At 52.6% G+C, this 25,655-nt stretch overlaps 1 protein-coding gene across 2 annotated transcripts in view, besides 5 other annotated features; it reads left to right on the top strand.

Annotated features, from left to right (window-relative positions):
• HIVEP3 (HIVEP zinc finger 3) overlaps positions 1 to 25,655 on the top strand; it is a 529,570-nt gene that overhangs the window by 352,740 nt on the left and 151,175 nt on the right. The gene's annotated exons all lie outside the window — the stretch shown is intronic.
• Positions 4,435 to 4,634: an enhancer, noted in NCBI's record as "active region_871". NCBI's record gives its function as "activates an Ori minimal core promoter by ATAC-STARR-seq in GM12878 lymphoblastoid cells {active_cell/tissue: GM12878}" and the evidence as "EXISTENCE:reporter gene assay evidence [ECO:0000049][PMID:35858748]".
• Positions 4,815 to 4,864: an enhancer, noted in NCBI's record as "active region_870". NCBI's record gives its function as "activates an Ori minimal core promoter by ATAC-STARR-seq in GM12878 lymphoblastoid cells {active_cell/tissue: GM12878}" and the evidence as "EXISTENCE:reporter gene assay evidence [ECO:0000049][PMID:35858748]".
• Positions 10,008 to 10,597: an enhancer, noted in NCBI's record as "H3K27ac-H3K4me1 hESC enhancer chr1:42138269-42138858 (GRCh37/hg19 assembly coordinates)". NCBI's record gives its function as "activates a minimal SCP1, AML or CMV promoter by ChIP-STARR-seq in primed H9 embryonic stem cells {active_cell/tissue: H9 hESC(primed)}" and the evidence as "EXISTENCE:reporter gene assay evidence [ECO:0000049][PMID:30033119]".
• Positions 11,780 to 12,370: an enhancer, noted in NCBI's record as "H3K4me1 hESC enhancer chr1:42136496-42137086 (GRCh37/hg19 assembly coordinates)". NCBI's record gives its function as "activates a minimal SCP1, AML or CMV promoter by ChIP-STARR-seq in primed H9 embryonic stem cells {active_cell/tissue: H9 hESC(primed)}" and the evidence as "EXISTENCE:reporter gene assay evidence [ECO:0000049][PMID:30033119]".
• Positions 20,213 to 21,092: a silencer, noted in NCBI's record as "silent region_751". NCBI's record gives its function as "represses an Ori minimal core promoter by ATAC-STARR-seq in GM12878 lymphoblastoid cells {active_cell/tissue: GM12878}" and the evidence as "EXISTENCE:reporter gene assay evidence [ECO:0000049][PMID:35858748]".

Below are 25,655 nucleotides of genomic sequence, written 5' to 3'. Positions count from 1 at the left end.
CCTTGCCCACTGCTTCAGCCTTAAAGTGCAGGTTCCCTTCTGTTTTGGGGGCTTCAGCCCCACCACTTGGCTTGGGCAGATCCCCATTTTGCTGTGTTGTTTCATGTTTCTCTGTCTTTGCACATTTCTCTTTCACTGAACCACCCACTTCCTCTCATCTCCCATCTCCACTTAGTCCTCTTGTAAACTCTCATTTAAGACCCAGTTTAGATGTCATTCCTTCCATGGTGTCTCCCCTGACCTCCCCCATCTTCCGTGGTGGCACTTTTGTGCACATTTCTGTTATTAGATTTTCACCCCGCTTTGCAGCTCTTTTGGTCCATGTCTGTACGGCTCCGTGAGCACCAGGACTAAGTCCCAGGCCAAGCCCAGGGCCTGGAAGGTGTCTATTGGAAGGAATAGAAATGAGTCCCCCAGAGCACAGCCCTGAGTGAGCTTCCGCAGGCTCTTACTGAGGTCTCAGAGGCAGCAGGAGGGTGGAGAGGCCTAAGGGAGTTTGCACTGAGCCCCCTTAAGACTTCTCTACCACCAAGAGGTCCTGCATCCCTAGGCACCACCTGTCCCCGGCTGGGCGTCAGTTTCCACTCTGAAAACTGGATTCATTTCTTTGGTTTGTCTAGAGCTGGTATTTCTTGGTGTTTCTGGAAAGTCTGTAAGGCAGCTAATGCAGAGCTCCCCAAGACACCAACCACAGGGTATTCGGCGGGGTCCTCCCTCTGCTTCACTGACCCGTTCCATCAACCCTCCCAGAGCCTGCTTGGGGCTGGGCCAATTCAGGGGCTGGGAGCACAGGGAAGAATCAGGCTTGGTGCCTACCCTTGAGAGCTCACGACCTAGGTAGGGAGACAGACACATCCACAGCAATGCCATAAGCACAGAGTGCCACGGAAGCCAGGAGGAGGCCAGCCCTGAGCCACCTGTGGAGGTGCTCAGAGAAGACTTCCTGGTGGGGATGGGCCTGAAAGACCCAGGGCAGCATAGTTCACAGTGAGCACCAAGCATGCAAGCCACTGAGTGTGGCCAAGGACAGGCACAGAAGATGTGGCCTCAGCTGCGTGTCCCTGTGTGCGTATGAGAGAGAGAGAGAGAAAGAGACCACAGAGAGGAGTTGAGAGGTAAGAGGGCTTGGGCTGGCACAAGTGATATCCGCGGAGACCCTTGGGGAAGAGCTTTTCCAATTAAAGTCCTGGCTGAGCTCCCTTGATTATGTAATAGCCAGGGAAATGTCATCAGGGATAGCGTTAGAGGAAGGAGGGATGTGCCTGAGCAGGGCTTCACCATTCCCAGAGGGGAGCTGGGAGCAGATTTGTAAATGAATCGGAATTTGCACATAGTCAGAAAGAACATCCAAGTTGGGGCAGCCAGTCCATATCAGGAGGAGGGGACATAGTCACAAGGTTGTGGCAGTGGAACTTATGTAGCTGAACACAAGGTTTCCCTCCCAGCCCCTCCTCCCTCAGGTGCCACCAGCCCACTGGATCACTTGCCCATCCCATTAGGATGGTCTCTGGGGAAGCAAGGAGAGAGGGGCCAGGCCAGCGCTGCACCATTCTGGCCCAGAGGATGTGTGCCCCGAGAGCTGTGCCTGTGAAAGAATGTGGTGCAAGGGTGCCTTGTCCTCTGTGGCTCACAAACTAACCCTGGGATCACACAGGCAGGAGGCCTGCAGCCACGTGAGCACCAGCTGAGCACTTTAGTATGTTCTGCCGGGGAGAGGGCACATCTCATTTTAGTTCAACTGTGAGTCACCCCTGGCCCTCAAGAACCATCTCCAAAGCCCATTGATAAAACACACAGATCAGGCTCAGCACGGTGCTGCACGGATGCAATCCCAGCACTTTGTGAGGCTAAGACGGGAGGATTACTTGAGCTCAGGAGTTCAAGACTAGCCTGGGTAACAAAGCAAGATGCTGTCTCTACAGAAGATATAAAAATTAGCTGGGCATGGCGATGCACACCTGTAGTCCCAGCTACTCAGGAGGCTGAAGCAGGACAACCCCTTGAACCAAGGAGTTTGAGGTTTCAGTGAGCTGTGATTGTGCCACTGCACTCCAGCAGACAGTCTCTGTCTATACACACACACACACACACACACACACACACACCAGTTCTTAGCTTCTGGGGAATGATAAGAGCTTTGGAATAGGATGGACTTTGAGCCTCAGTTTTCTCATCTGCAAATTGGGAATAGTATTAATACCCCCTCCAGGGATTATTATTGTGAGGCTTAAATAAATGTGAAATGGTCAGCCCAGATCATGGCACATAGCAAGTACTCAGTAAGTGGTAGCTGTGATTATTTTCATAAAAGCTTCCACGGAGAGGGGGTTGTCCTGTTTGATTTATATGCCATATACCGTTTTATTTTATTTTAGCAAGAACACTTGAGGTCTACCCTCTTAACAAAATTTCAAGTGTACAATACGTTGTTGTAGACGACAGGTATTAATACAACATTGTGCGGCAGATCGCCAGAGCTGCTTCATCTGGCTTCACTGAAACTTGATGCCGGTTGATTAGGAACTCCACATTCTGCTTTAAAAGATTTGGGATGCCAGCATGAGAATCACAGAGCAGAGCACAGGGCAGTTTCCATGCAGAGGTGTGGTTTGTGTTTCCAGCACCAGCATAAAAGACAATGTTCCTGCCCTGAGTGGGACTGAGACAGCTATCAGCTGGTTCAAAAAGAAGCAAGTGGGACTATGGCCTTGGAACTATAGGCTGATCCCCACCTAGCTGGACACTGTGATGAGGCTAAGAACCTGTAAGTGATCTTTCTGGTTGAAGCTTACTGCCCCCAATCCTTCCCACTGTTTTAGCACTCTGAGTGACTCCCTGCCAGAGTAAGAGTTTGGACAGGAAGAAGATAATTGGCATTTGAGGACAAGGCCAGAATCTAAGGTATCCTCTTAGATACCTTGGACATGCTCAGTACTGATGGAGCCCAGGGGTCTCAGCTGCTTGGCCTGAGAGGAGTGGCCCAATGTCAGGCCTGGTTGCCAACGTGACCTGTAGAGAAATGACTATGTCACATCCTTAGCTGTCTGGCCCACATGGTCATCCCAGGGACCAGTGTGTGCCTGAGGTGTGAGAGCCAGTGTCTCTTAGAAGGAGGCTCAACCATCCTGGCCCATCTCCCCTTCAGGGCAGGATCCAAAACTTGGTTGCTAAAAGGATGAGGCACAGGGTATAGTCATGGAGTGGGTGGCTGTGGAGCCAGACAGGTGTCCTGCAAAGACCCTTAGCAAAGTGGACCTGAAGTTCTCATTAAGGCAGCAGGATTGAGCTCAAGTCAGACCTCCAGATAGATGCCCTGCCTCCCAAGGGCACTAGGAGAAGACTGTGGCAAGCGAGTAGAGGCAAGCCCAGAGCATCCACAAGGCATGTGGCTTCTGGTGAGAAAATTAATTCTAGCCCTAGATGGAACTGGGTTTCCCACATCCTCCCAGGTCTGGGCAGGCTGAATTCAGTGATGGGCAGGGCTGAGCCTTCAGGCACTGAGCTGAGAGTCTGGAGCCAAGCAGAGCTTGGGAGAAGGAGGGACACTGCTGGTCTACATGGTGCCAGCAGAGCCACAGCTGGGCAGCAGCACCTTGTAGGCTGGTCAGCTCCCCTCCATACCAAAGCAGTCCTCCATCCCTGCCACCAGTCCCCTCCCCAAATGCATGCAACTGGTCTCTGGACCACTGAGTGAGGCTAGGGAGGGACTAGCAGCTTCCATTGCAGGTATAGGCAAATGAGTCCCACGCACCCAACTGGGGAGATAGGATCTGTCCTTTCTATGTTCAGAGGCAGCCATGGTGCCATGGAATGAGTGCTGGATTTGGATTCTGACAAATGGGCCCAAATCAAGGCTCTGCCTTGCTTGCTCTGTGACCCTGGGCATGGACCTTGGCCTCTGGGAGTTTCAGCTTCCTCATCTGCAAAATAGGGTCCCAGAAGGCCTGCATCATGAAAACTTGAGCCACCAGAATTGGACGCATGTCAAAAAGAGTAGGGGAGTGGCTTTGGGGAGGTGAGAAGAAAAGGGAGGGAGAAAGAACAGTGTGTGCCAGCCTCTGCCTCCATGGCAAGGGTCTTGAACATTCCAAATGCCCAGTCGTGATATGAGTCCTCCCACCCAGGATCCTTGAGATGTATCCCTTGTGGAGCACCTTCTCCCTGGGCCATGGGTCCTGTACTGGGACACCAAACTCTATGCCTGGAAAGCACCCTCCCTACTTTGTGCCATTTCTCTGTCTTGATTGCCAGACCCTGACCCCATGAATCCTTCTTCTCCCTGGACATCTGGCCATGGTGATAGGGAGCAGAGTCTAAGATGAGCTGGCTTGAAAGTGTGCTTAAGGCTCCCACCTCTAACTGCTTCCTCTTTGAGATGAGGTGTGGCCTCCTGGCTGGAGAGCTGTCATCATCTGAGCAGGGCTGGGCATGCTGAGCCTTGGCAGCCCTGGGGACCTGGCCTCAAGCGGGTAGGGCAGTCGTCACAGTCACTGTAACCAAGAGGTGTGGTGGGCTCAGGCCCAAGGGGGCTGGGGTTTCTCTCCAAGTTGCTTTGATGTGTGGGGGATGGGTGGGAGACAGTGGTACTGCTCAGACTGGATAGTGCCTGCTGCTGTGTGGTTGTGGTTCTGGGGAAGAGGTGTGTGGGTGGAGAGGAGCGCGAGCCGGAGGCCACCCCTGGGAAGAGGAAATGGACAAGGCTGCTTCTCTAGGCCCACAGGAATTCCAAGCCCCTGGCCTAGAGCAGCTGGGCTAATTACAGCCTCCTCCTTGTTGGTGGGAATGGGACTTCTAAAAGAGCACCAGCCTTAGCCAGAGCTGGCTAAGGAGAGCAAGGTTAAGCTGAGGAGTGGGGAGGCCCTGTGGGTCTGGTGGCCAGCTGCCTAATGCATTGTCGCAATCAGGCTCCCAATGGAGGGGCCGGCCAACTCAGCCTCTCTCTGGAGCGGAGCATCCAGGTCCCAGCGGCCCAGGAGTGCAGCAGATGCAGATGCTGCCAGGAACAGGCTGTGGGGATCGCCGAGAGTAAACAACAGAGGAGAATCGCCTTGCAAACCACACTCGATGGAAATCTCCCCAACAGCCACGTCGCAAAATGGAACCAAAATATTTATTCAGAGCAGCATTTTTTTAGAATTGCTCTCCAGAAGGTGACACAAATGGGCCAACCTCTCAGACAGCCCAGCACAGAGAGGCATGCCCTGTCCCCAACCCAATAGAGCCAATAACCCATTAGCTGGGGCCTCCAGGTCAAGTTCAGCTTTGTTCAGAGTCCTAGCCCATCTTTTCAACACTGTGCAGGGGAGACTGGAAGCAGCTTAGGCCCATCTGGAAACTATTAACAGGCCCCTTTCCTTGGTGACCCATCACCACTCACCAGAACTGTTGTTCCTGCGGACTCACCTGACCGCCCGATGTGCGGGGAAGCAGACGCATCAGCCAACCTCACGTCATCGGAGATTTGATAGTTACAGGCCAATGCTGGATATTAACCAGATATTGGACTTTAGCTGGGAGCTTGTCACACATTCCTCTCTTCTTTTCCCCATGGCCAACACTAATTCTTAGAAACAAGACTAGCTGTAGGGCTTCTGGACTTCACAGGCTCAACTAACACGTATTAAAGTTCTCCTAGCCAAGAACATTCTAGGCTCTTTCATTTGTTTTGTCTCATCATTCTCCTGATGGCCTTTGAGGTAGGCATCACTACCCCATTTTATAGTGAAGCAAAGATAAGCCCAGAGAAGTTAAGGAACTGACTCAATGTCACACCGCTGGTGCACGGCAGAGCTAAGATTAGAGCTCAGGTCTTTAACACCCTTTTCTAGCATCCATTGTCTTCTGTCACACTATTGTATTTCTCTCTTACGACATAGGCTTGTCATGAGGATTAGACCGGATTATACGTGTGAAGCGTGTTAGAGCAGTGCATGGCTCTCAGTGCATGCTCATTTTCATTCCTCCTGCCTTTTCAGAGATTGTTTAAAAGTGAGAGTTGGGGTGGGAAGAGAGAAACTGAGTTTTGTCTCATTGTCTCATTTTATAGGGATGAGTAGGTGGTGGAGCTCAGGCATGGCTAGATCCAGGAGCTGATATAATGTCATCAGATCACCAGACTCTTATTTTCCCCATTCTTTTCATCTTTACTCCTTTTCGTGTTGATCTCAGTCTCATCTGCTGCTTTTGGGCGTCATCCTCCACACGGCATAACACAGTGACTCTGCAGGGTGGAGAAGGGCCATGGCCCCTGCTGGCTCCCTAGCCTTCACCATCCCAGCTGGTGACTCCAGAATGAAAAGTGGACTTTCCTCCCAGCTGTTGCAGGGTGAAAAATCCTAGGGAGGTGCTGTGATTGGCCCGTCTTGGGCCACATGACTACTCCTGGGTCACTGCGCGATTGTGTTTGGCCAAACAGGTTGCCCCTCCCTGCCCTGGCCAGGATGGTGGCCTCCTGTGAAGGGAAGCCCTGCCTGAATTGAGAGTGGAGTTGGGGGGCAGTTTCCTGAGGAATTCTTGCCAGAAGAAAGGGGAGAGAGGATACTGAACAGAGAAAGAAAAGGAATGGTCGTGCATTACCCTGAGATGGATGAAAGCGCTGAGTCAGTAATAATGTGAGGCAAAATATGTAAATCATTCTATATTGGCTTATCCCTTAAATCTTACAGATAGGGAAACTGAGGCTCGGAAGCATTGTGTGACCCTGCCATGCTCCCACAGTGAATTTCTGAGACATTGGGCTGGAGTCTGACTCCCCTGTTCTTCCACCTTCTCCTGCATGGGGAGGAAACTGTCCCCGCCATCCCCAGCCTCACCCAGGCCTCAGGGAGTGCTGAGAAACACCTAGTTGCCGGGCACGGTGGCTCACGCCTGTAATCCCAGCACTTTCAGAGGCCAAGGCAGATGGATCACGAGGTCAGGAGTTCAAGACCAGCCTGGCCACCATGGTGAAACCCCGTCTCTACTAAAAATACAAAAATTAGTGGGGCATGGTGGCACATTCCTGTAATCCCAGCTACTGGGGAGGTTAAGGCAGGAGAATCAGTTGAGCCTGGGAGGCGGAGGTTGCAGTGAGCCGAGATGGTGCCACTGCACTCCAACCTGAGGGACAGAGCAAGACTCCGTCAAAAAAAAAAAGAAAGAAAAGAAAAGAAACACCTGGTTGGCAGAGCTGGTCGAGGGGAAGCGGGGTGATGTGGCATTAGATGTTGCCCGGCCATTGGCAGTTCCCCAGCTGTCCTGTCCCCGGTCCCCAAGATCCTATGTCACCTCAGCTCCATAACATTATGTGTCTGAGCTGGGCCGTGTGGACACACCCTGGAGCCGCAATCATCAGCAGAGCCTGTGGCCTGGTTCTCCTTCCCATGGGCTCACCCACCACCCCTGCACACTTTCCTCTACACCCATATTGAGGGCTGAGTTTGAATCATATTCTATGCCAGGTGCAGGGAATTCACGATGAGTGGTAAACTCTCCTGGTCTTCCTAGGGCTCAGCAGGCTCTGAGTGGAGACAGCACCTCAGTACTAACCTCACAGGGTGATCAGTTCTCTGATCCCAGGGCTCAGCATTGAGAAACAATCCATGTGGGTCACAGCTACTCTGACAGTTTCTGGAGATTCCATGGTGAGCAAAACATACATGTCACTCTCATCTGACAAGACTGCACACATAAATAAAAGTTACAAATGCTGCTACTTGAGAGGCTCTGGAGAGGAGATGCCTGGTGCTGGGGAATGTGCACAGGGCCTGGTTTAGTTGGGGGCAGGGGAGGGCTTCCCTGAGGAGGTGACATGCAAGGGGAAATGGAAAGGTTGAAGAGGAGTCCGCTGGATGTGGAAGGGATGTACGAGCAGAGTGTCCCAGGCACAGACACAGCATGTACAAAGGCCCTGAGGCAGGGGGCACCGAAAGAAGACCCTACGCCCCAGGTGGATCGAGGGGGAGATGTGGCAGGAGGGGCAGGTGGGGTCACTGAAGCAGGCCTTGGACACCATGTGGAAGAATTTGGCCTTTGTCTTAATAGCAGAAGGAAGCCATTGAGAGGATTTAAGCAGGACAGGCATGGGGCACACAGGGGTACGGATTAAAGCCTGGAGTCAAGGACATTTGGGGTACCTGTGGGGGGACAGGGACACCCATGGGAGGATGGTTCTATAAATGAGAAGCCAGCAGAAGGCCTCTGAGGGGCTTTCTAGGCTGCCTGTGCCAGCATTTTAAGAATTCCATGGCTGTGAAAATGGGGTGCAGAGGATGGGACCTGTGTGGGGGAAAAGGGGAGTCCCTGTTCTGTTCCAATAAGTGTGGACTAAAGATGAGCTGTTTTCTTTACCCGCCCCTCTCAGGGCTTTGTGCATTGCTGTGTACACTGGGGAGCTCCAAGGTGACTGTGGAATAGGCAGTGTTTTCCCAACGTAATTGACCATGGGAAAGGCTGCAGACAAAGGGACTCCTCAGAGGTGCTTGTGTGGAAAGGCGGCTGGATGTGATCTCAGCGTGAGGATTCCATCCTGGTGGCCGGCAGCCGGGTGGGGCTGGGATAACCCTGGACAAAGGACACCTGTGAATAGGCCATTATAGGAAACCCATCGACGGGCAGATCTACTGCAAACTCTACGGAGGGGTCCTGGGTACGGGGCAGGGAGGAAGTTCCAGAGCTGGGAGTCTCTCACCTTCTCTGTCCTCATTCCTCTGCCCTTTCTCCTTTTCCCCTGGTTCCTGCCCTGAGAATCCCACGTCCTTGAAATACTCCAGGTTCCAGTCAGCACCCTGAGAGCTCTGGACAGGCTGTAAGCATGAATGCCACTGAACAGGATGAAGCATCGCCAGAATGAATACATTCGTGGGAAGGCCATCCCTTGTGTCCACAAAACAGTGGCATGGGTGGGGAATGGAAGAAAGAGAAGGGGAGGATGTAGTGGTTCCTTGATGCCTCCTTCCTCTTCACCCATTGATTTGTTTAATGATCATTTAACAAACATCAGGCACTGGACTGGGCATTGGAGACCTGGCGGGGCATGAGACAGACTCAGGGCCAGCTTTCCCGACACGGGGATTATGTCTGGGTGACATTCAATTCTCCTGACAAACCTGCTTCTGGCTTCATCTGACAAGCCCCTCTGGGGAGGTCGGCCCCAGCCAGCTGGGTTTAGGGAAATGCCCCGCCCTGGTGTCAGAGAGGCAGGGGTTAGAAACGCAGCTGTGCATCATCAAAGCTCTCTGTGCCTGTTTCCTTTTCTGCAGAAGAAAGACAACCCCACCTTCTGCACGGGCTGGGGTGGGGGTTCAGGGAGGTCCCACACTCCTGGCACCTAACGTGATGCTTTTAACGAACTGGCTTTTTGTTCTCATCCTCTCTCTTCACCACCAGGACTTGGCCAGGAAATTTCTGATGGTTTGGTTTTTCCCAAACTGAACATTTTATCCCTTCTTCCCTAGCTCAACAGCATGTGCAATTTAGACTCACAACCAAACTTGATTTATTCATACTTAGGGAGTCCTCAAAAATACCCTGCCAGATAAACCTTCAAGCTTGAGAAGCTAACACAATCTTGAAAGAAAAAAAATGCTTAGAGTTCAAGAAATTGGACTCAGGCTCGCGGTTTTGGTTTGTTTCAAGCAGTGAGATACAGTGAGGAGAAGCTCTGGGTGTGTAACCAGGAAATCCAGGTCGTGGTCTGGTGCACTGCCTGTAAGCTAAGCCGAGCAGCCAGCCCTCCTCAGCCTCAGCCTCCCCTCCTATGAAATGGGGGTAATAACCTTTTCCTCCTGTGGCTGCTGGGGAAACTGAGTGAGGTTCAAAAGCAATAATGAACTGAAAATGCTGTCTGCCTCTCCTGAGCTACTCAACATCTTCTCTATAAAGTACTTAAAGGTCCTCCTGGGAAACTTGCATTCTCTCACTGCCTCTTTGCACCTGAGACCACCCATCTGGCCTCTGGGAGACCCCAGTCGTTCCTGACCCAGCTGTTTGGCTCCAACTGTCCTGTGGTTAGAGCAGCTAGCCGGCTGTTCCAGGAAGTCTCTTTCTCAGGCTGGGCCCCTAGGGAGGGAGCTGAGCCCCATTTGGTGGGGGAGAAGACAAGGCCTGGGGAGGGGGCAGGGGGACCGCCAGCCTGGGAGAAGCTGTGCCGTATTTTTCAAATAACTCCATGTCCACAAAGCTAAAAATGTGGCCTGGCTTTACATATTTTATACATGTGTATATTCCCGGTACATTTCCTTCTAATTTTTAAAACCATACGTAACGTCAGGGACATTTAATCCATATGGTTCTGATTCCTTAACACTTAAATCATCCAAATGTTGTTTTGTAGAATCTATTTGCAAATCTCTTTACGTAAGTGTTTAACTCATTCTTTCTCAAGGGAATCCAGGCATGGTCCCTGGCTGAGTCTTCCTCCTCTTTCACTCTCCTCACTCCCCACCTGAACTGGCCAGATGTCTTGACTGCCTCTGGCCTGGGCATCACTGCTCAAGCCCTGCCCTCAAGGCTGGGGGAACCTGGTGGGAGAGGACTGAGAGGCAGACGGCCTCCACTCTACCACTTCCTGGCTGTGTGATCAATCACAAATTAAGCTCATCAAACCCTTTTCTTCACCTGTAAAAAGGGATAAATAATAAACATCTTCCAGGATTGTTGGGGGATAAAGCAAGGTGATGTGTAGAAAGTCCTTAGCTCAGAGAACAGGGCTTGCCGCCCACAAACAGAAAGGTAGGGAGAGGCACGTGGGACTGCAGAGTCATTCTTGAGGAATCTTGAGATAACAGCCCCAGGGCAGAGAAGCTGAGGCCGGAGAAGCAAAAGAACACTGCCCATGGGAACTGGGGATTCAGACAAGGACCAAGCAGTGGCTGCAGCGGTCAGAAGGGTGGGAGGTGATGGGCCTGATGCCAGGAGATGTGTGGGCAGAGCTCAGGTGGGGGTCTGGGAGGGGAGTGAGTATCCACAGTGTACTCTGCACATGGGGCCTGCCCCACATGTGCCAGGGAGGTGGGGAGGGCCCCAAAGGACCTGGCAAACCATGGAGGAAGTCAACAGGGAAAGTGGCTCTCCCAGGTGAGAGGGGCATGGGCTTCCCACCTGGAAGTCTTCCACAGCCATCTGTCAGAGCACACTCATGCGCTAAGGGCCCCCATAGACTCTCCCACCTGCAGATACAACCCCAACTGCTTAGCCTGGAGTTGTGGCCCAACTCAACTGCACCCAGCCCCTGCCCAATCCCCACCAGGGTCTCCCCACTTTCTTCTCCCTCCCTTCAGGCCATTCTCCAACTTTCATATTCTTTTCAGCTGTTTCCCCTGCCTCCATAGCTTTTCCTGGCTTTTCCACTGATAAATACCTACCCACTCTTCAAAATCCAACTCAAAACTCATCTCCTCTGACAAGCTTTCCTGGGAAGATTTGCAAACAACTGGTCCTTCCTTTGTGCTCTCCTAGTCTTAGTCTGACTGGGCCGTACTCACCTGGGATGAATTCTTCGGGGTCTGCGCTGGGAGCTGTGGGTGTGGGGATGGATAAAAGCCACTCCTGTCCAGGAGGTCCCCTGTTCTGCGTGAGGCGGAGCCTCATTTGACCTGTGGCTTTCTGAGAAGGCAGAGTGGGACTCCAAGATGGAAGCTATAGGACTCTGTAGATGTCAGTGTGAGATGGGAGCTCAGCTAGGAGGACACAGGATGGCCAGGGTGGCACAGCTCCTGAGGCCTTCCCCATGGCAGGGCCTATTGGTCAGCTCTGATCTGGACACCACCAGTGCCTGCCCCCGAGAGCAGGATTCGTTTCTCCGGCAATTCCAGAAGGAGCAAATCCCAGACAGAGCTGCATCTCTGGGACGGAAGAGCAGATGCTCAGTCTAAAATTAGGCTGCTAACTGCGACTTCATCTAGGCTTCGGAGCGGATCTGCTTCTTGCATCTGCCAGTGTGTAGCAGAGGAAAGGCGAAGCCCCTGCCTCCCTGTCGAGGCTGGGCAGTGATGGTGATAGCCAGCTGGGGGCCCAGCGTTCTACAGTCTACCTGTGGTGCTTTCCTGGGCTCAACTTCATTAACTCCTCACAAGTCCCCTGAGAGGGAGGCTTAGGAGAGGCAGGGTGGGGAGGGGCCTGTCCCCCACCCGCAGGAGCTGCCTTTGCTTGGGGGTGTCTGGTTGAAGCAGAAAGGGATGATAATCAGGGAAAATTTCTTCCCACCTCTTCTTTGTCTACCGTTCCCACCTCCATTCAGGCATCCTCTGGCTCTCCTATTATCTGCCTGAGCAGGCCCCACACTCCAGGAAGGGTAGAATCTGTTGGAGGCCTCTGTGTGGGCCTTCTTTTATCTCTCTGAAAGCCACAGCTCTCACGGTGGCCTGCCAGGCCCTGTGTAATATGCCCGACGCAGGGCCTTTGCACTGGTTGCCCCTTTGCCTATAAAGGCCTTTCCTAGTAACTGCGTGGCTTAATTCTTCCCCTGCTTCAAGTTGCTGCTCAAATGCCACCTTCTCAATGAGGCTGACTCTAACCACCCTATTTAAACTTGTGACTCATCTCCCACCCCTGCATTCCTGGTTCCCTTACTCTGTTCTGCCTTGTTGCCATAGTCCATACCTCCTGCTAATATGCTCTATAGTTTACTTACTTATTCTGTTTCTTGTTTACTGTCTGTCTCTTTCCCCTAGAACATAAGTTCCATGGGGCAGAGATTTTTGTTCATTTTGTTCACTGATGCACTCTAAGTCCCTAGAACAGGGCCCAGCCAATAGTGGCTGAACATGTGTTACAGAGTGCATGAATTCAGGGGGGATGGAGGCACCTGGGCTCAGGGCAGCATCCTGTTTTTGCTAAACATGGGCCATGGCTGCTCCAGAGAAAGCCAATGCCCTGGAGATAGGGTCCTTCTGCTGGAACTGCTTCTAGGTCCTCTCTGGGCCTCTGTTTGCTCATCTATTAACTGGGGCTGATGGTCCCTGCCCTGCCCCTCACAGAGCCTTGGGATCACACCCATGAGGACATGGGTGTGATTATGCCCCAAACCATAAAGGGCTACCCAAATAAGTGTGAGGTATGCATTCGTTCAGTCAATATCACTGTGCACCTACTGGGTGCCAGGACCCATATTGAGTGCTAGGAGTCCACAGAGGACTGACGGCTTCTGCCCATCTGCAAAGAGGCCCTCCCAGGGAGTGAGGCCTCTGCTAGCTATGAGGAAGAAGGAAATGCTCACTTACTTCAGAGTTGTTGGAGATGTGAGACCCCAAAAAGGAATATGGGGTCCTCCTGGTATCTGAGGGAAGTCCTGATTTAGACATCTATAAGGGTTCTCTAGAGAACCAAAATCAATATGATAGGCATAGAGATAAATGTAGATATAGACATAGGAAGAGACTTATTGTAAATAATTAGCTCATGTGCTTATGGGGGCTGAGAAGTCCTATGATCTGCTGTCAGCAAGCTGGAGATCCAGGAGAGCCCATGTGTATTTCTAGTCTGAGTCTGAAGGCCTGAGGCCCAGGAAAGCCAATGGTATAAGTTCCATTCTGCAAGTGGGTAGGCTTGAGACCCAAGAAGAGCCGATGTTTCATTCTGGTGCAAAGGCAGGAAAAGACCAATGTCCCAGCTCAAGCAGTCAGGCAGGAGGAGTTTCCTCCCACTCAGCCTTTTCATTCTATTCAGGTCTTCAGTAGATTGGATGAAGCTCTCCCATGTTAGGGAGGGTAATCTGCTTTAAGTCTACTGATCCAAATGTTCATCTCACCCAGAAACACCCCCACAGACATACCTGGAACAATGTTTGGCCAAATGTCTGGGCACCCCATGGCCCAGTCGAGATGGCACATGGAATTAACCATCACACCCTCCTCCCACCCCCAGACTGCTATTGATCTTTCACCTTCAAACCAAGACCCACCAAATTCACAGGCCTGCCTTCCCCTCCCCAGGTCTCCCCTCAGCGCTTCCACCCTGCCACCCTCTGGGACATTGCCTCTGCTTATAAGTTCGCCTGACTCAGCCCTTTCTAAATAGGACACAGCCAGGTGCCCAGGACCCTTGCTGGGATTCTAATCCAGTCAGAGTTCAGGGTGGGTTTGAGGAGCAAGTTGCAAGAGATCAGCAGAAAATCCTGGGGAAGACAGCTCTCAGAGGGCTTGTTTTCAGGCCGGAAGGTACATGGCTGACTGGACTAAGAGTCTGGAGTTCCTGAGGGATCATGGAAGCTTCCTCTGCACTCCCAGGCAGAGTAGCAGAGGCTGCCATATTCCACCCCAGCTGCGGGAAGCCTCAGGAGAAAGCCTTCCAGGTGCCCTGTTTATTGAGCACCTAGTAGGTACCAAGCATTGACCCCAGAGCTCTCCTAACCTAGTAGGGGCACCAGACACAAATACTTTACTATAATGTGAGAAATATTTTGATGGTATATACAAAGCTAATTACCAGAACATCACTGAGAAGGGTGCTTTCAATTCTGCTGAGAGTGGAAGTCAGGAAAAAATAAGAAAAACAGGACTTTTGAAGGAGAGCTTATAGGACGAGTTCACTAAATAGGCAAAGAGAATTTACAGGGGAGCTGGAGGGAAGGGTGGATGGGGGATAGGAGGAGGAAGGGCATGCCAGGTAGAAGGAACAGCATGGGGAAAAGTGGAGTATCCAAATTCACATTATGTTTACGGACTAGTGAGCTGTCTGGCCCAGGCCACTCCCTTCCTGGGCATGACTGCAAGTGGGAAGATTGCAAGGCTGAAGGATTGGGGTTCTCACCTCTGGCCTTGAGAGGTCAGAAGGGCTGCAGTGGGAGCAGAGCCTGAGCAGGGATGGGGTGAGGCCACTTCCACAGTCCTTTGCTGTGGATGCAGGCTTTTGAAAGTAGCCTTTGCACCAGGCCTCACCCCTCCCGTATTCATCTCTCTCGCCCATGTCTTCGGCAGCATTCACTGCTTTCATCCACTGTTGTCATAGTTATTTTCTGTAGTGTGCAAGGCCTCTCCGGAACCAGACTGTGAGCTGCCTGAGCACAGGATCCTTCAGGCCTCATTTGTCTTGCCTCGGGATTCCTTCCTGCCCACCCACTGCCCTACCCAGCCCTTCGCCCTGGGCTGGCCACATGGATTATATCAATCAGTTGGATGAAAGTCTCAGGAGAGAAGAAGAATGTAAGGGCATCTCAGAATTCTTCTCTCCCTCTGCTACTCCCAGAACTCTTTTTTGTCATTCCTGTTGCTGTTTACCTTGTGTTCATGTTTATAGGGTCTGATTTAATTCTCATGTCCCCCTTCCCTCACTTCATCAGCTATTGGCAAGGACTAGGTCTTGTTCATCATAGTATCCCCCAAAGAGCTTGAGTTGGGGGGCTTGGGGGGGGCTTCTTTATTGAGTGACTAATACATATTGCTTCTGTTATTGATACTTTAAATGCATTTTCTCTTTTAATTTTATCTGCTCTAATTTATTCCTCTAAATTTTTCCTGGGATGTGTTATTCTCCCAATTTAGCAGCTGTGAAAACTGAGGTATAGGGGAGTTAAGCAGCCAGTAAGTGTCAGGACCAGGACATGCACCCACATCCATCTTAATCCAAGCTGTGGAAGTTGATGCTGTACTTATGCACCTCCCTTGGTGGGCACAAAGCCATGGGCAGAGTAAATATTTGTTGTTATTGATGATCTTGCAAGTCCCTTGGCTTGGGGAAAACCTGTTCTCACAGCTGCCAGGGGAGTGTGGCTTGACTAATCTTCTGATTTCCTGGAACTGAAGGCCCCGCCTTCCCCACCTGGGGCCTGCTGAGCCCTGTGGGAGTCCCCCAAAATGCTGGTGAAAAGCCAGAATGAGGCAGTCTCAGAGCTTAGGCCAGACCCAGGTCTCAGTCTGAAGTATAGGAAAAGAGGATGCTTTTGTCATTTGGGGAAAACTATTCCATGAGCTTGAGGCCAACTGGCCTCCTGTAGTTGCTGGTTACCAGGCAGGATGGTCAGAGCAGCCGTGTGTTAACAGTTCAGCATGCTCTGAATATCTGTGACATTCCTAGAGCTAAGATTTGGTCATGCACAGAGATGCAGAATCTAAGGGGGCAGCAGACACATGAAGAAATGACTCTCATAGTGGGGCACAAGCCAGGACAGTCTGTATCAAGTGCTGGAGGCTCATGGCAAAGGAAACGCCAACACTCCCTGGGGGCCAGGGAAGCCTTCACAAGGGAAGTGGCCTCTGAGCTGGCCTGGAAGGCTGAGTGGGAGCTGGCCAAGCAGATGGGTGAGGGGAAAAGTATAGGGAACTGCATGTGCAAAATGTGCTTGGAAGGCTCAGAAACAGTGAGAGATTCTGTATGGTGGGAGCATAGGGTGGATGGGGATAGTGCAGAGAGAGGGAGGTTTGGACTGGTAAACTGAGGCTCTGTTGTTAAAGGCCCTAATAGACCGGGTGGTTTCGCTGAACAGGGACCCACTTGAAGGTGTCCTAGAGAGTTCTACCTGTGTGGAGAATGGATTGCAGGGGTAAGCTGGGCACGGTGCCAGGGAGAAGGCTGTTGGAACTTGTTGGTGATGGTGGCCTGAATTGAGGCACCAGGCATGGAGAAGGGCTTCTGGCTTCGGGCTTGAGAAGATTGATGCCCACATCCATGAAGATGAGCAGTATGAGAGGAGGAGGATTCTGAGTCACCATATGGGAGGACAGTAATCAATGCTACTGTTTATTGAGCACCTACTATTTTGTACACTGAAGAGTTCTATTGCAGTGTCTTGTCAAAACTTCCCAGCAGCCCTTGGAGATGAGAACGTCAAGATCAGTGACATCAAGTAACATGCCCAAGGTGACACAGTAAATGTGGGGCTGGAGCCTGAACCCAGGTCTATGTGGCTCCAAGGCCCATGCTGTTATCCACAGCATCAAGTTAAGTCAGGAAGCTGGAAACACAGTTCTCAGGCTGGAGAGAAAGGATGGGAACTGAGTCTGGAGGACTGGACCTCAGGAAGGTGATATCCATAAAATGCAAACTCTAGTCTCTGTCCCAGGACAGAAGCTTCATGTGTGCAACAGGTCTATGAAGAGAGCACCTACCATACATGTGCACATGCACACACACACACATACACACACACACACACACACGCACACACACCCCAAACAGGAAAACAACCAAAGCATCTGAGTCCAGGAAAGCACAGCAATGGGGATGGAGGATGGAGAGGGGATGGTTGCTAAGTCAGTGTAAGACCTAAACATAAATAACCCAGAAGGCCCACAGGGCCTGGTTGCTCAGCCCCACCCCACCTTAAAAGTGCTCCCAACACACTGTGCTGGTCCCTAGCTCCTTGGGAGCAACAGTGGGTTCCAAAATTGTGTCTAATTTTGTTGTTATAAGCTGGAAACAAAATTCCATAGAGATAGCTTTCTAGATGGCAGATCAGATGCCAAACCTGCCCTCTGCTCTAATCTCTTTTAGCTTGTAAAGTCTCTACAGTGTGATGCTGGCTTTACAGCAGATCCAGACTGTGTGTGTGTGTGTGTGTGTGTGTGTGTGTGTATAACATTTCCGTGGAAACAAGCATTCAGCATTCTAGCCCGGGACACCTGGATCACAGTTTTCTTGAATTGTAGCTCCAGAAGTAGAATGAATCTTATCTTTCCATCTTGTATGCCCCTACTCCACCCCTCTCCAACCTTGTCAAACAGCAGTGTAACATTTAGCAATGGGATATCTGTTTACCTGTCAGTCTCCATCCATGAACACAGGCTTGTGTATTACATGTTCCCAACACAGAAATGGTGCCTGATTCATGTTTGAGGAATGCAGGAATGTGGGAAGGCCCCCAGGGCCAAGTACTGGGACTTTCTCAAGACCTGGCCCAGTTACTTGCAGGGGATGGGGCTGATAGGAAGGAACTGGCACCTGGTACCACCTGCCTTTCAGATACATGGTGGGAAAGGTGTCCTGCACCTCAACTCTGCCTTTCTGCAGACTGGTGGAGGCCTGGTCTGCAGGTGGGGGCTCACAGAGTAGAGTCGAGGTCAGGCTGGTAGCCTCGAAGCAGGGCTGTCTGCCCCCACCTTCTTTCTCTGAGCTCTGAGGCTGGAGTCCTGAAGACCTTCTGGCTTCCAGTGAGAATTGGCACCAGAACTGAGGTGGGGGCTGAGTCTTGAAGTGGGGACAGATGGTTGTGGGAGGAGCTAGGTGAGGGCTCCCCAGCTGACACTCCTGGCCTGGGGAATGACTACCGCTGGAAAGGCCTGCATGGCTTGGAAGGCTCAGGGGCATCCAGTCTGACTGTGTCTGGTACAATGAAAGGGCTTGACAAATTGCATTTTCCTTCATCCTTCCCCTCCACCTCATTAGGGCCAGCTCAGGACTCCGTGTTTTGGGGGGTTGGCATGGGGATATCCCAGGCTCCCTGATGGCTGCAGAGGAGTTTGTCAAGAGAAAGGAGGAGACAAATCCCAAGCCATCCCAGTCTCCTGAGCATTCAAGCCAGTCTAGCTGAGAACCCCGCCTTTCATCCCAGCCCCCAGCCAGGGACCCTAGGACATCAGCCACTGTTCTGGGTTGGGTAAATTCTCCCCCGTCCTCTGGTTAGTTTGTCTTAGGATTTGCCCCTCAGGACCATTCATTCACTTAACAAACATTTGTAAACTTATCAGTCCTGGGAGGGGAGAGGGATCAAGATGGAAAGTTCCCTGAAGCTCCCAGTCTGAGGAAGAGGAGGCCCCCAATAACTGACTTCAATGTGAGGTGATGGGCAAGTCTGTAGAGGCAGGAACTATTGAGTTGCCTGTGGCATCATGGAAGGTGACCAAATCCATTGGGAGGGTCCCTTGAGGCCAGGCCACCTCTCAAAGGGGAGGAGGATGTCATTCAACTTGGGGCAGGAGCAAGGCTGTCATCTGAGCCTGTGTGTGTGAATGATAGAAAGTCACCCCTCAGGGCATATGAATTATAACAAGGCACCCACCTCCTCTGCCTGGAGTTGCTTTCAGACAGAAAACGGGAAGCAGGACAGTGGGGGCAGGGCAGGAGTGGAGTGAGGAGCAGGAATCTGTCCCAGGGGGCACCCCACCCCAGTTGCCCTGCTCAAGAGAAGGACCTGTATCAAGGGCAGGCTTGGATTCAGGGTGTGAAGGACAGCTGGAGGGGGTGGAGAAGACATTTCAAAGGGAAAGCCTGTATGAAGACCTCAAGAAGTGGAAACTGGTGCAAAGTGGTGCGTGTTGGGGGTGGTGGCTGGGCAAATGGCAGGATGGGCTGAGCTCTGGGAGATGCAGCTGGTCCGTGGGGCCTTGCATGCCAGATCAGGAAGTGTGGTCCTTCCCTTTGGGGCTTTGTCAGAAGGAGGATGACCCAATTAGAGCTGGGATTGGGCCCTGGGAGCTGATGGAAGTTGAGAGAGACTGGGGTGGTGGTGATCCACAGAACAGCTGGGCAGCTTGGCAGCTGGTCAGTGGGTTTGCAATCGTGTACGTGAGTGTGCAGACCCATGTCCAGCTGCAATCACACCTGCCTTGACTCTCTGCAAGCCCTGGAGCCATAGCTTCCTCCTCTCTGCCCCTAGGAATGTAGTGCCTCTTAGAAGGTGGGGGTTCCCTCCATTAAAGCTGGGGGTCTGGGAGGAGTCTATTTGCTCTGATCTGGCTTTGGAGGAAGGGTGGCAGCTCTATCAGAGGCTGTTGTATAAAGGCACACAAATGCCCAAGGTCACTAATCCGCCCTTTGGGCCTAGAGAAGTTGAGGGCATGACTTTGGAGCCAGAGGAAACCTGGAGCCTCCAAGGATCCCCCTGGAAACTTGGGTCAGCATAGTGCTTAGTTCCCCTGTGGGGCCTCAAACTTTCATGACCCTGAAAGGGAGTGCTTGGTTAAATTCTGCATCCTAGGCACTTAACTTACCTCACTCTAGTCCTGGCTTAACCCCACTCTACACCCCCGACCCCCAGCTCCATTGTCTCCTCCTGAGGCTGTTCCTGGAGTCAGCCAAACCCAGGGCCAGCCCTGGTTCCACTGTGGCAGAGGGTTGACCTCTGCCAAATAACCTCTGGTGGGCATCAGTGAAATAACAGATCACGGAGAGAGATCTCAGGGTCCTGGCCTTCCCGCAGACCTGTGGAGGCCTGGCTGGGAACTGGCTCAAGTGTGCTTGATCCTGGCCAGAGCAAGGACCAGAGTGACTCAGGCCCAAATCCCGAGATCCAGCAGCTTCTGGTAAAGTCAAGCCATTGGGAAGCCCCGGGGTGTCCCCCGCCCCCACCCCAGGCCTGAGCCCAGGGAGGCCCTGGCAGGCCCGCCCCGCCCAGAGCTCATTAAAGCGGATTCCCGCCTGGGGAGGCGCGGGCTTCCCGGAGCCCGGCTGGCACCCAGGGGGAAGGCGGGGAGCGCACACTTTGGGGACGGCGATGGACTCCCGCTGGGCCCGGGTGCGACCAAGGCGTGGCGCAGAGTGGCAGGGCCCCGGCGGCGGCGACAGGGGCTTCCCTGTCTGCCCTCCCTAGAGGGCCCAGGAGGAAAAGACAGCGCCGGAGCCGGGGCGGGCGCGGAGGGAGGGGCGGCGCCCGGAGTGACACGGCCTGTCACCGAGGAGGCCGGCGCGCAGACCCTCCCCGCGGCCGCCGGCAGCCAGGGATTCCCCGGGCGAGGAGACCCTCCCCTGGCAGCCGCCAGCCGCGCCCGGGCCCATCTGCGACCCCGGCCGCGAAGGCATCCCGGGGTGGCCAGCAGTGAGGCCGAGCGGACGGGAGAGGCGCCCCGGGCCGGCGGCGGGGTCCCCGTGCTCGGCGACAGGAAACTCTGGGGAGTGAATGGAAAGAAGTGGGTGGTCCGGCCCCTGCGACTTCCCCTGACATCACTGCCCAAATAAGGAGCTTCCAAGCGGCCGCGGGGCGGCCCGGAGCCGCGCCCGCCGCCGGCGCCCGCCCGCCAGCCCGCCCCGCGCCCACCCCGCGCCGCGTGGGCCGCCAGCGAGCGCCTGGGGCACCGCCGGGCGGAGCCGAGCCGGGCGGAGCCGAGCGCGCGGGCGCTGCCGAGCCGCGCGGAGGCCGGGCGCGCAGCCCAGCGCAGCCCAGTCCAGCGCGGCGCAGCCCAGCCCAGAGCAGCGGAGCCTCGGCCGCCCGCAGGTAAGCAACGAGCGCCCCGCGCGCCGCGCCCCCGCCGCGGCCTGGCAGCCCAGGGACCGGGCACCGCCGAGCGGGCGGCAGAGGGACCGGAGGGAGCCGCGTCGGTGGGAGAGGGCTGGGCGCGGGCGCGCTTGCAGTAGTGCGTCGGTGCCAACTCCCGGGACCCTTGGAGTGAGGGGCCCCGGCTTCTTCGCAGCCTGCGGTGGCCTGATGCACGCGCTCTCAGCCAGCGTTTTCCAGACACTACTTCTGTCACCACCCTAGGGCGACACAAGCGTTCCCGCGTTCACACACTTCTCTGGCACACTCGCGCCTGGCACGGCCGTTGGCGTGCACAGCCTCCTGTGTCCAGCGCAGACTCTCACCCCGGCGCGGCGCTCACCCCTCGCACCCACGCATACCGTGGGACACGGCACACCCGGCGGGAGCTGCTGAATGGGTTTGGCAGCCCTAGCTTCCCCCAAGGCCATGCAGTTTCAGTCTGTCAGAGCCCACCAGCCTGGGGCTCCTCGGGGCTCATTGGGAGTGAGTTAAACTAGCATTGCTCTGGATCCTCCGAGGAGCCCCTCCTCCCGGCATAATGACAGCTGGCACTGGGGGTACATCCTAGCGGGTTGTACCTGGCATGGTCAGGAGGGTGTGGCGACTGGGAGAGATCTACTCCCACTTCACAGCCTGGATGTTTCCAGAGCGGCTTCTACTCCAGGGGCATTTCTGAGAGCACCCTCCCCAACCCCCCTTAATCAGAGCAGGGTGCTTGGGCTTCAGACAGAAGTGGTGGTGGCTGCAAAACAGGTGCAGATAGCATCAGCCTTGGCATCTTGCAGGGATCTCTGCATAGTGGCCACAGTTGTTTATCTATAAAAATATAATGTATTGATTGATGTTTCATCAAGGACATAGGGGAAACTGATAGAGCCAAATTATGGGTCTATCCCTTAGTGACTCTGGGCAGACTCGTTCGTCTCTTTCAGGCTATGTTTTATCAAAAATGGAATGAGTGTCCCCAGAGGTATGTTTTTAAGAAAGATTGAGATCACGTAAGTAAAAAATGTTTTGTAGATGTAAAGCCTTGTGCACGTGCCAGTAACTGTGGTTTGGATGATTTCTGGGCTGGTAGTTGTCATGGCTCTGCTCTGTGACTTAGAACACCCTTTCTGTTCCATCATCTGCAAAAAAGGGGTCATTAATAAGTGTCCTGTGTGCCTAGTAGCAGATTTTCCCAGTGTGTTCAGTGGATTGTTAGTTCTGAAAGCTGTTCCACCAGTAAAGGTTTCCCTGTTAGAGTAAGAATGGCAAATTGTGCAAGCTCTCTATTACCCTTTTGGCCAATTACAATCCATACTGGCAAATGAAAGGCTCTGAGAAGTCCTGCAATAAAAGACTCTTTAACTTTGTCCAACCCAGCATTTTTTTTCTAGTTGCGGGCCCTTTTCAAGTTAGTAGGCTTGCTCTCCAAGGAAACAGTGCTTCAGGGGCTACCCATAGAGATGATGTAGTGTTGTACAGTTGCAACCAAACTTTGAGAGCTAAATTCTAATTGGTCTGTTTTAATGGAGAGTAAGCAGAAGCCCAGAACAGTTAAGAGGCTCATCTGAGGTCACACAGCTAAACAGTGGCCCAAGATCACCCAGTAGTTAGTGGTAAAGCACGGACCGCAACATGACTCCCCATCCAGTGCTCTCACCTCACTGAATGACATCCAGAAGTTGAGAATTTTCCTCTAGAACCAGTCTTGCTGCTTTGTATGGACACTTTGCAGAATGTGTTTAAAAAACATAAAGAGTCAAATGATTTATTGTTGAATGAATTAAGTGATGACCAGTTACCAACTCTGTGCCTTTCATTTTGAAGACTTTAGCATGTAAAGTTCAACCACATGTGGAGCCTGTGGTGAAGAGCTTGGTAATGGTACCACAGTCATCTCTCACACATGCACACATACACACGTGTGTGCACTCTTACACACTCAAACACCCACTTGTACACACAAGTTTGTTCCTACACGTGCACACACCCACAGCCCACTCCAACTCACTCACACATGCCATCCTGTTCACTCATTCGCACACACAACCCTGCTCCTCTACACACACCCACTCCCATGCACTCTCACTTATGCGATCCTGTATACTTGTTCATACTCACACATCTGCTCCTACGCACACTCTCACACACACACATTCATCCCATTGTGTTCTAGGCTGCAGCTATGAGGTAGTTGTGGCAATGGGGATGTCCCCTTGTCCCCGTGTCCCCAGAGCTGGTGAGGGGGTGCCTGGCACTAGCTCCCCAAGATGAGTACTGAGCATGTGGGAGTGCTTTGCAGGGCCAACCCAACGCCGCATTTCCTCCATGTCTCCCAGTTTCTTCCATTTTCTGCCATATTTGTGGATATTGGCCGACTATTGCTTGGTTGCATGTGATGGGACAGCCACAGCTCTGGCGTCTCCTGTGCTGTTTGCTTTAATCAATGTCAAAGCACTGTGAGGGCAAGGACCGCAGCATCTAGCAGAGAGCCTGGCATAGAGGAGAGGGTCAATAGCATTTATTGAATGAGTGTCTGCCAGATGCTAGGATGGCCATGACCCAGGCCAACATCCAGGGGGACTTGATGAACATGTTTGCTGAGTGCCTGCTGGGCCCTGGGCACCATTCTAGGGACTACAGCAGTGAAAACTGTTTAATCCCTTCTTTCAGGGAGTTTGCATTCCAGTGGGAAGAGAAATAATGAATATTAATGGATCAGATAAAGCTAAGTCGTCATATACACTCTGAAGAAACTCAAACAAAGCTGTGTGATGGAGAATGCCAGGGAGGAATGGGAGAAGCTACACGTGGGGGCCCAGAGAGTTCTCTGAGGAGCTGACATTTATCTTGAGATCTGAGTAATAAAGAAGTGACAGCCTTGCAAAGCTTTGGGGAAAGAATATTTGCCATAGAAGAACAGCAGGTACAAAGGCCCTGTAGCAGAAAGGAGCTGGGCTAGGGACCAGGAAGAGGCCATACTTGCAGTTCGCTGCTGATATTCTTGCCAGCACCCTTTGGAGGGGGTAACTGCTGGTGTTTGATCTGAGACCTACTTATCTTCCTGGTTCAATCACTAAAGCCCAACAGTGCATCCTGGGCTTTGTGGGGCGGGGCTGCCCTCTAGATCTGTCCATCCCCAACCCCTGTAAATGAGGAAAAGGTCAGACTTCTAAGGACCCTCTTAGCTCTACCGTTATAGAATTCGATGCTCTGTTTGCAGGAGGTTTTTAGGAGACAATTCAGGTGGTCCATCTGGAAGGATTGTGAATTAGTTGTGCTGCTTCCATTATTAATAACCATGATGTCATACATCTGTGCGGTTCCTGATCGGCTGCAGAGCACTCTCCCTTATTATCCTGTTCACTCTGTGGACTAATCTGCCAAGCGGGGGATGGGATGGAAAGAGTGCAGACACTGCCACACACTGCCGCAGGCTCACCCAGGCCACTTCACCCCCTTGAGCCCCTGCTTCCTCCGCTGCAGAGCAGGATCACAGGAGAACCTGCCTCCCGAGGCTCATGGGGGGGGTGAAGTGAGAACATGCACTTTCAAGGCCCGGGGGTGTAGCAGGCACTTGGTAACTGCTGGTTCCTGTTTTACAGATGAGGAACTCGGAGCTAAGAGGGATCATGACTTTTTTTTGTCTGCTTCTGTGTCCCTAGTCTTCCCAGCCCAGGACTCTGGGTCCATAGTGGGCTTTTAATAACTATTAGGTTGAGTTGAGTTGCCTGTGGTCAAATAACTGGTTTGAGCTAGGACTCAAACCCAGGACTTTGGGCTCCAAAGTCCTTTTTATAAACATCACGCTGTTTGGGAATAATTGCCATTAACAAAGACAAACCTTCACATGCATTTGTGGATGAGTTATTGTTGCTTGGTTGAGAATCTTAGAATTGGAAGGTCTCAGCGGTTTTGAGTTGTGATATTCTTTGTAAACCAATTAACAGATTTCTTAAGAAACATTTTCGAACCTTCCAGAAGAGGGTGTAGTTGTGAGAAAATGGTCTGAGAATTGACAGCAGTGGTTCTTAACCAGGGGTGCCAGGTGCTGTCACCTGAGGGCTTTGAACAGAAGAGCTCCAAGTTCCACCCTGATTGTCTGATCAGAGAGTCTGGGGACAGCATGTGGGCATGTGGAGAAGTGCCCTGGTGCTAGATGTTCTGCCTGGGATGAGAAGCCCAGCCAGCAGGAGGCCCAGGAAGTCAGGCAGGCCTTCCATCTGCCTCCCATTTCCATCTGTCCTTGGCTGTGGCTCCGACCCCCTTGTCCCGGACCTGCAAAGGCCACATGGTAGGAGCATGAGCGATGGCGTCCCACAGACCGGAGTTTATATCTCCTGCTTTCTAGCCCTGTGCCTTTCCTATTTGCTTTGCCTCTCCTAAACCTCAGCTTCCTGATCTGTGATGTGGGAATGCTCACACTTACCTACAGGGTGACAGATGTCTCATTAGATACCTGTGCCTGGCACTTAGTAGGTGAACCATAAACAACAACTAGTTTCAGTTGTTAGGATGAAAAATTACTGAGAATAATAAAAACTGCAGTATTTGTGAATGAATCAGC

This window comes from Homo sapiens, chromosome 1, assembly GCF_000001405.40.
Source record: "Homo sapiens chromosome 1, GRCh38.p14 Primary Assembly".
NCBI lineage: Eukaryota > Metazoa > Chordata > Mammalia > Primates > Hominidae > Homo > Homo sapiens.
The sequence above is the reverse complement of the archived record's forward strand: the minus strand, read 5'-3'. Positions and strand labels throughout refer to the sequence as shown.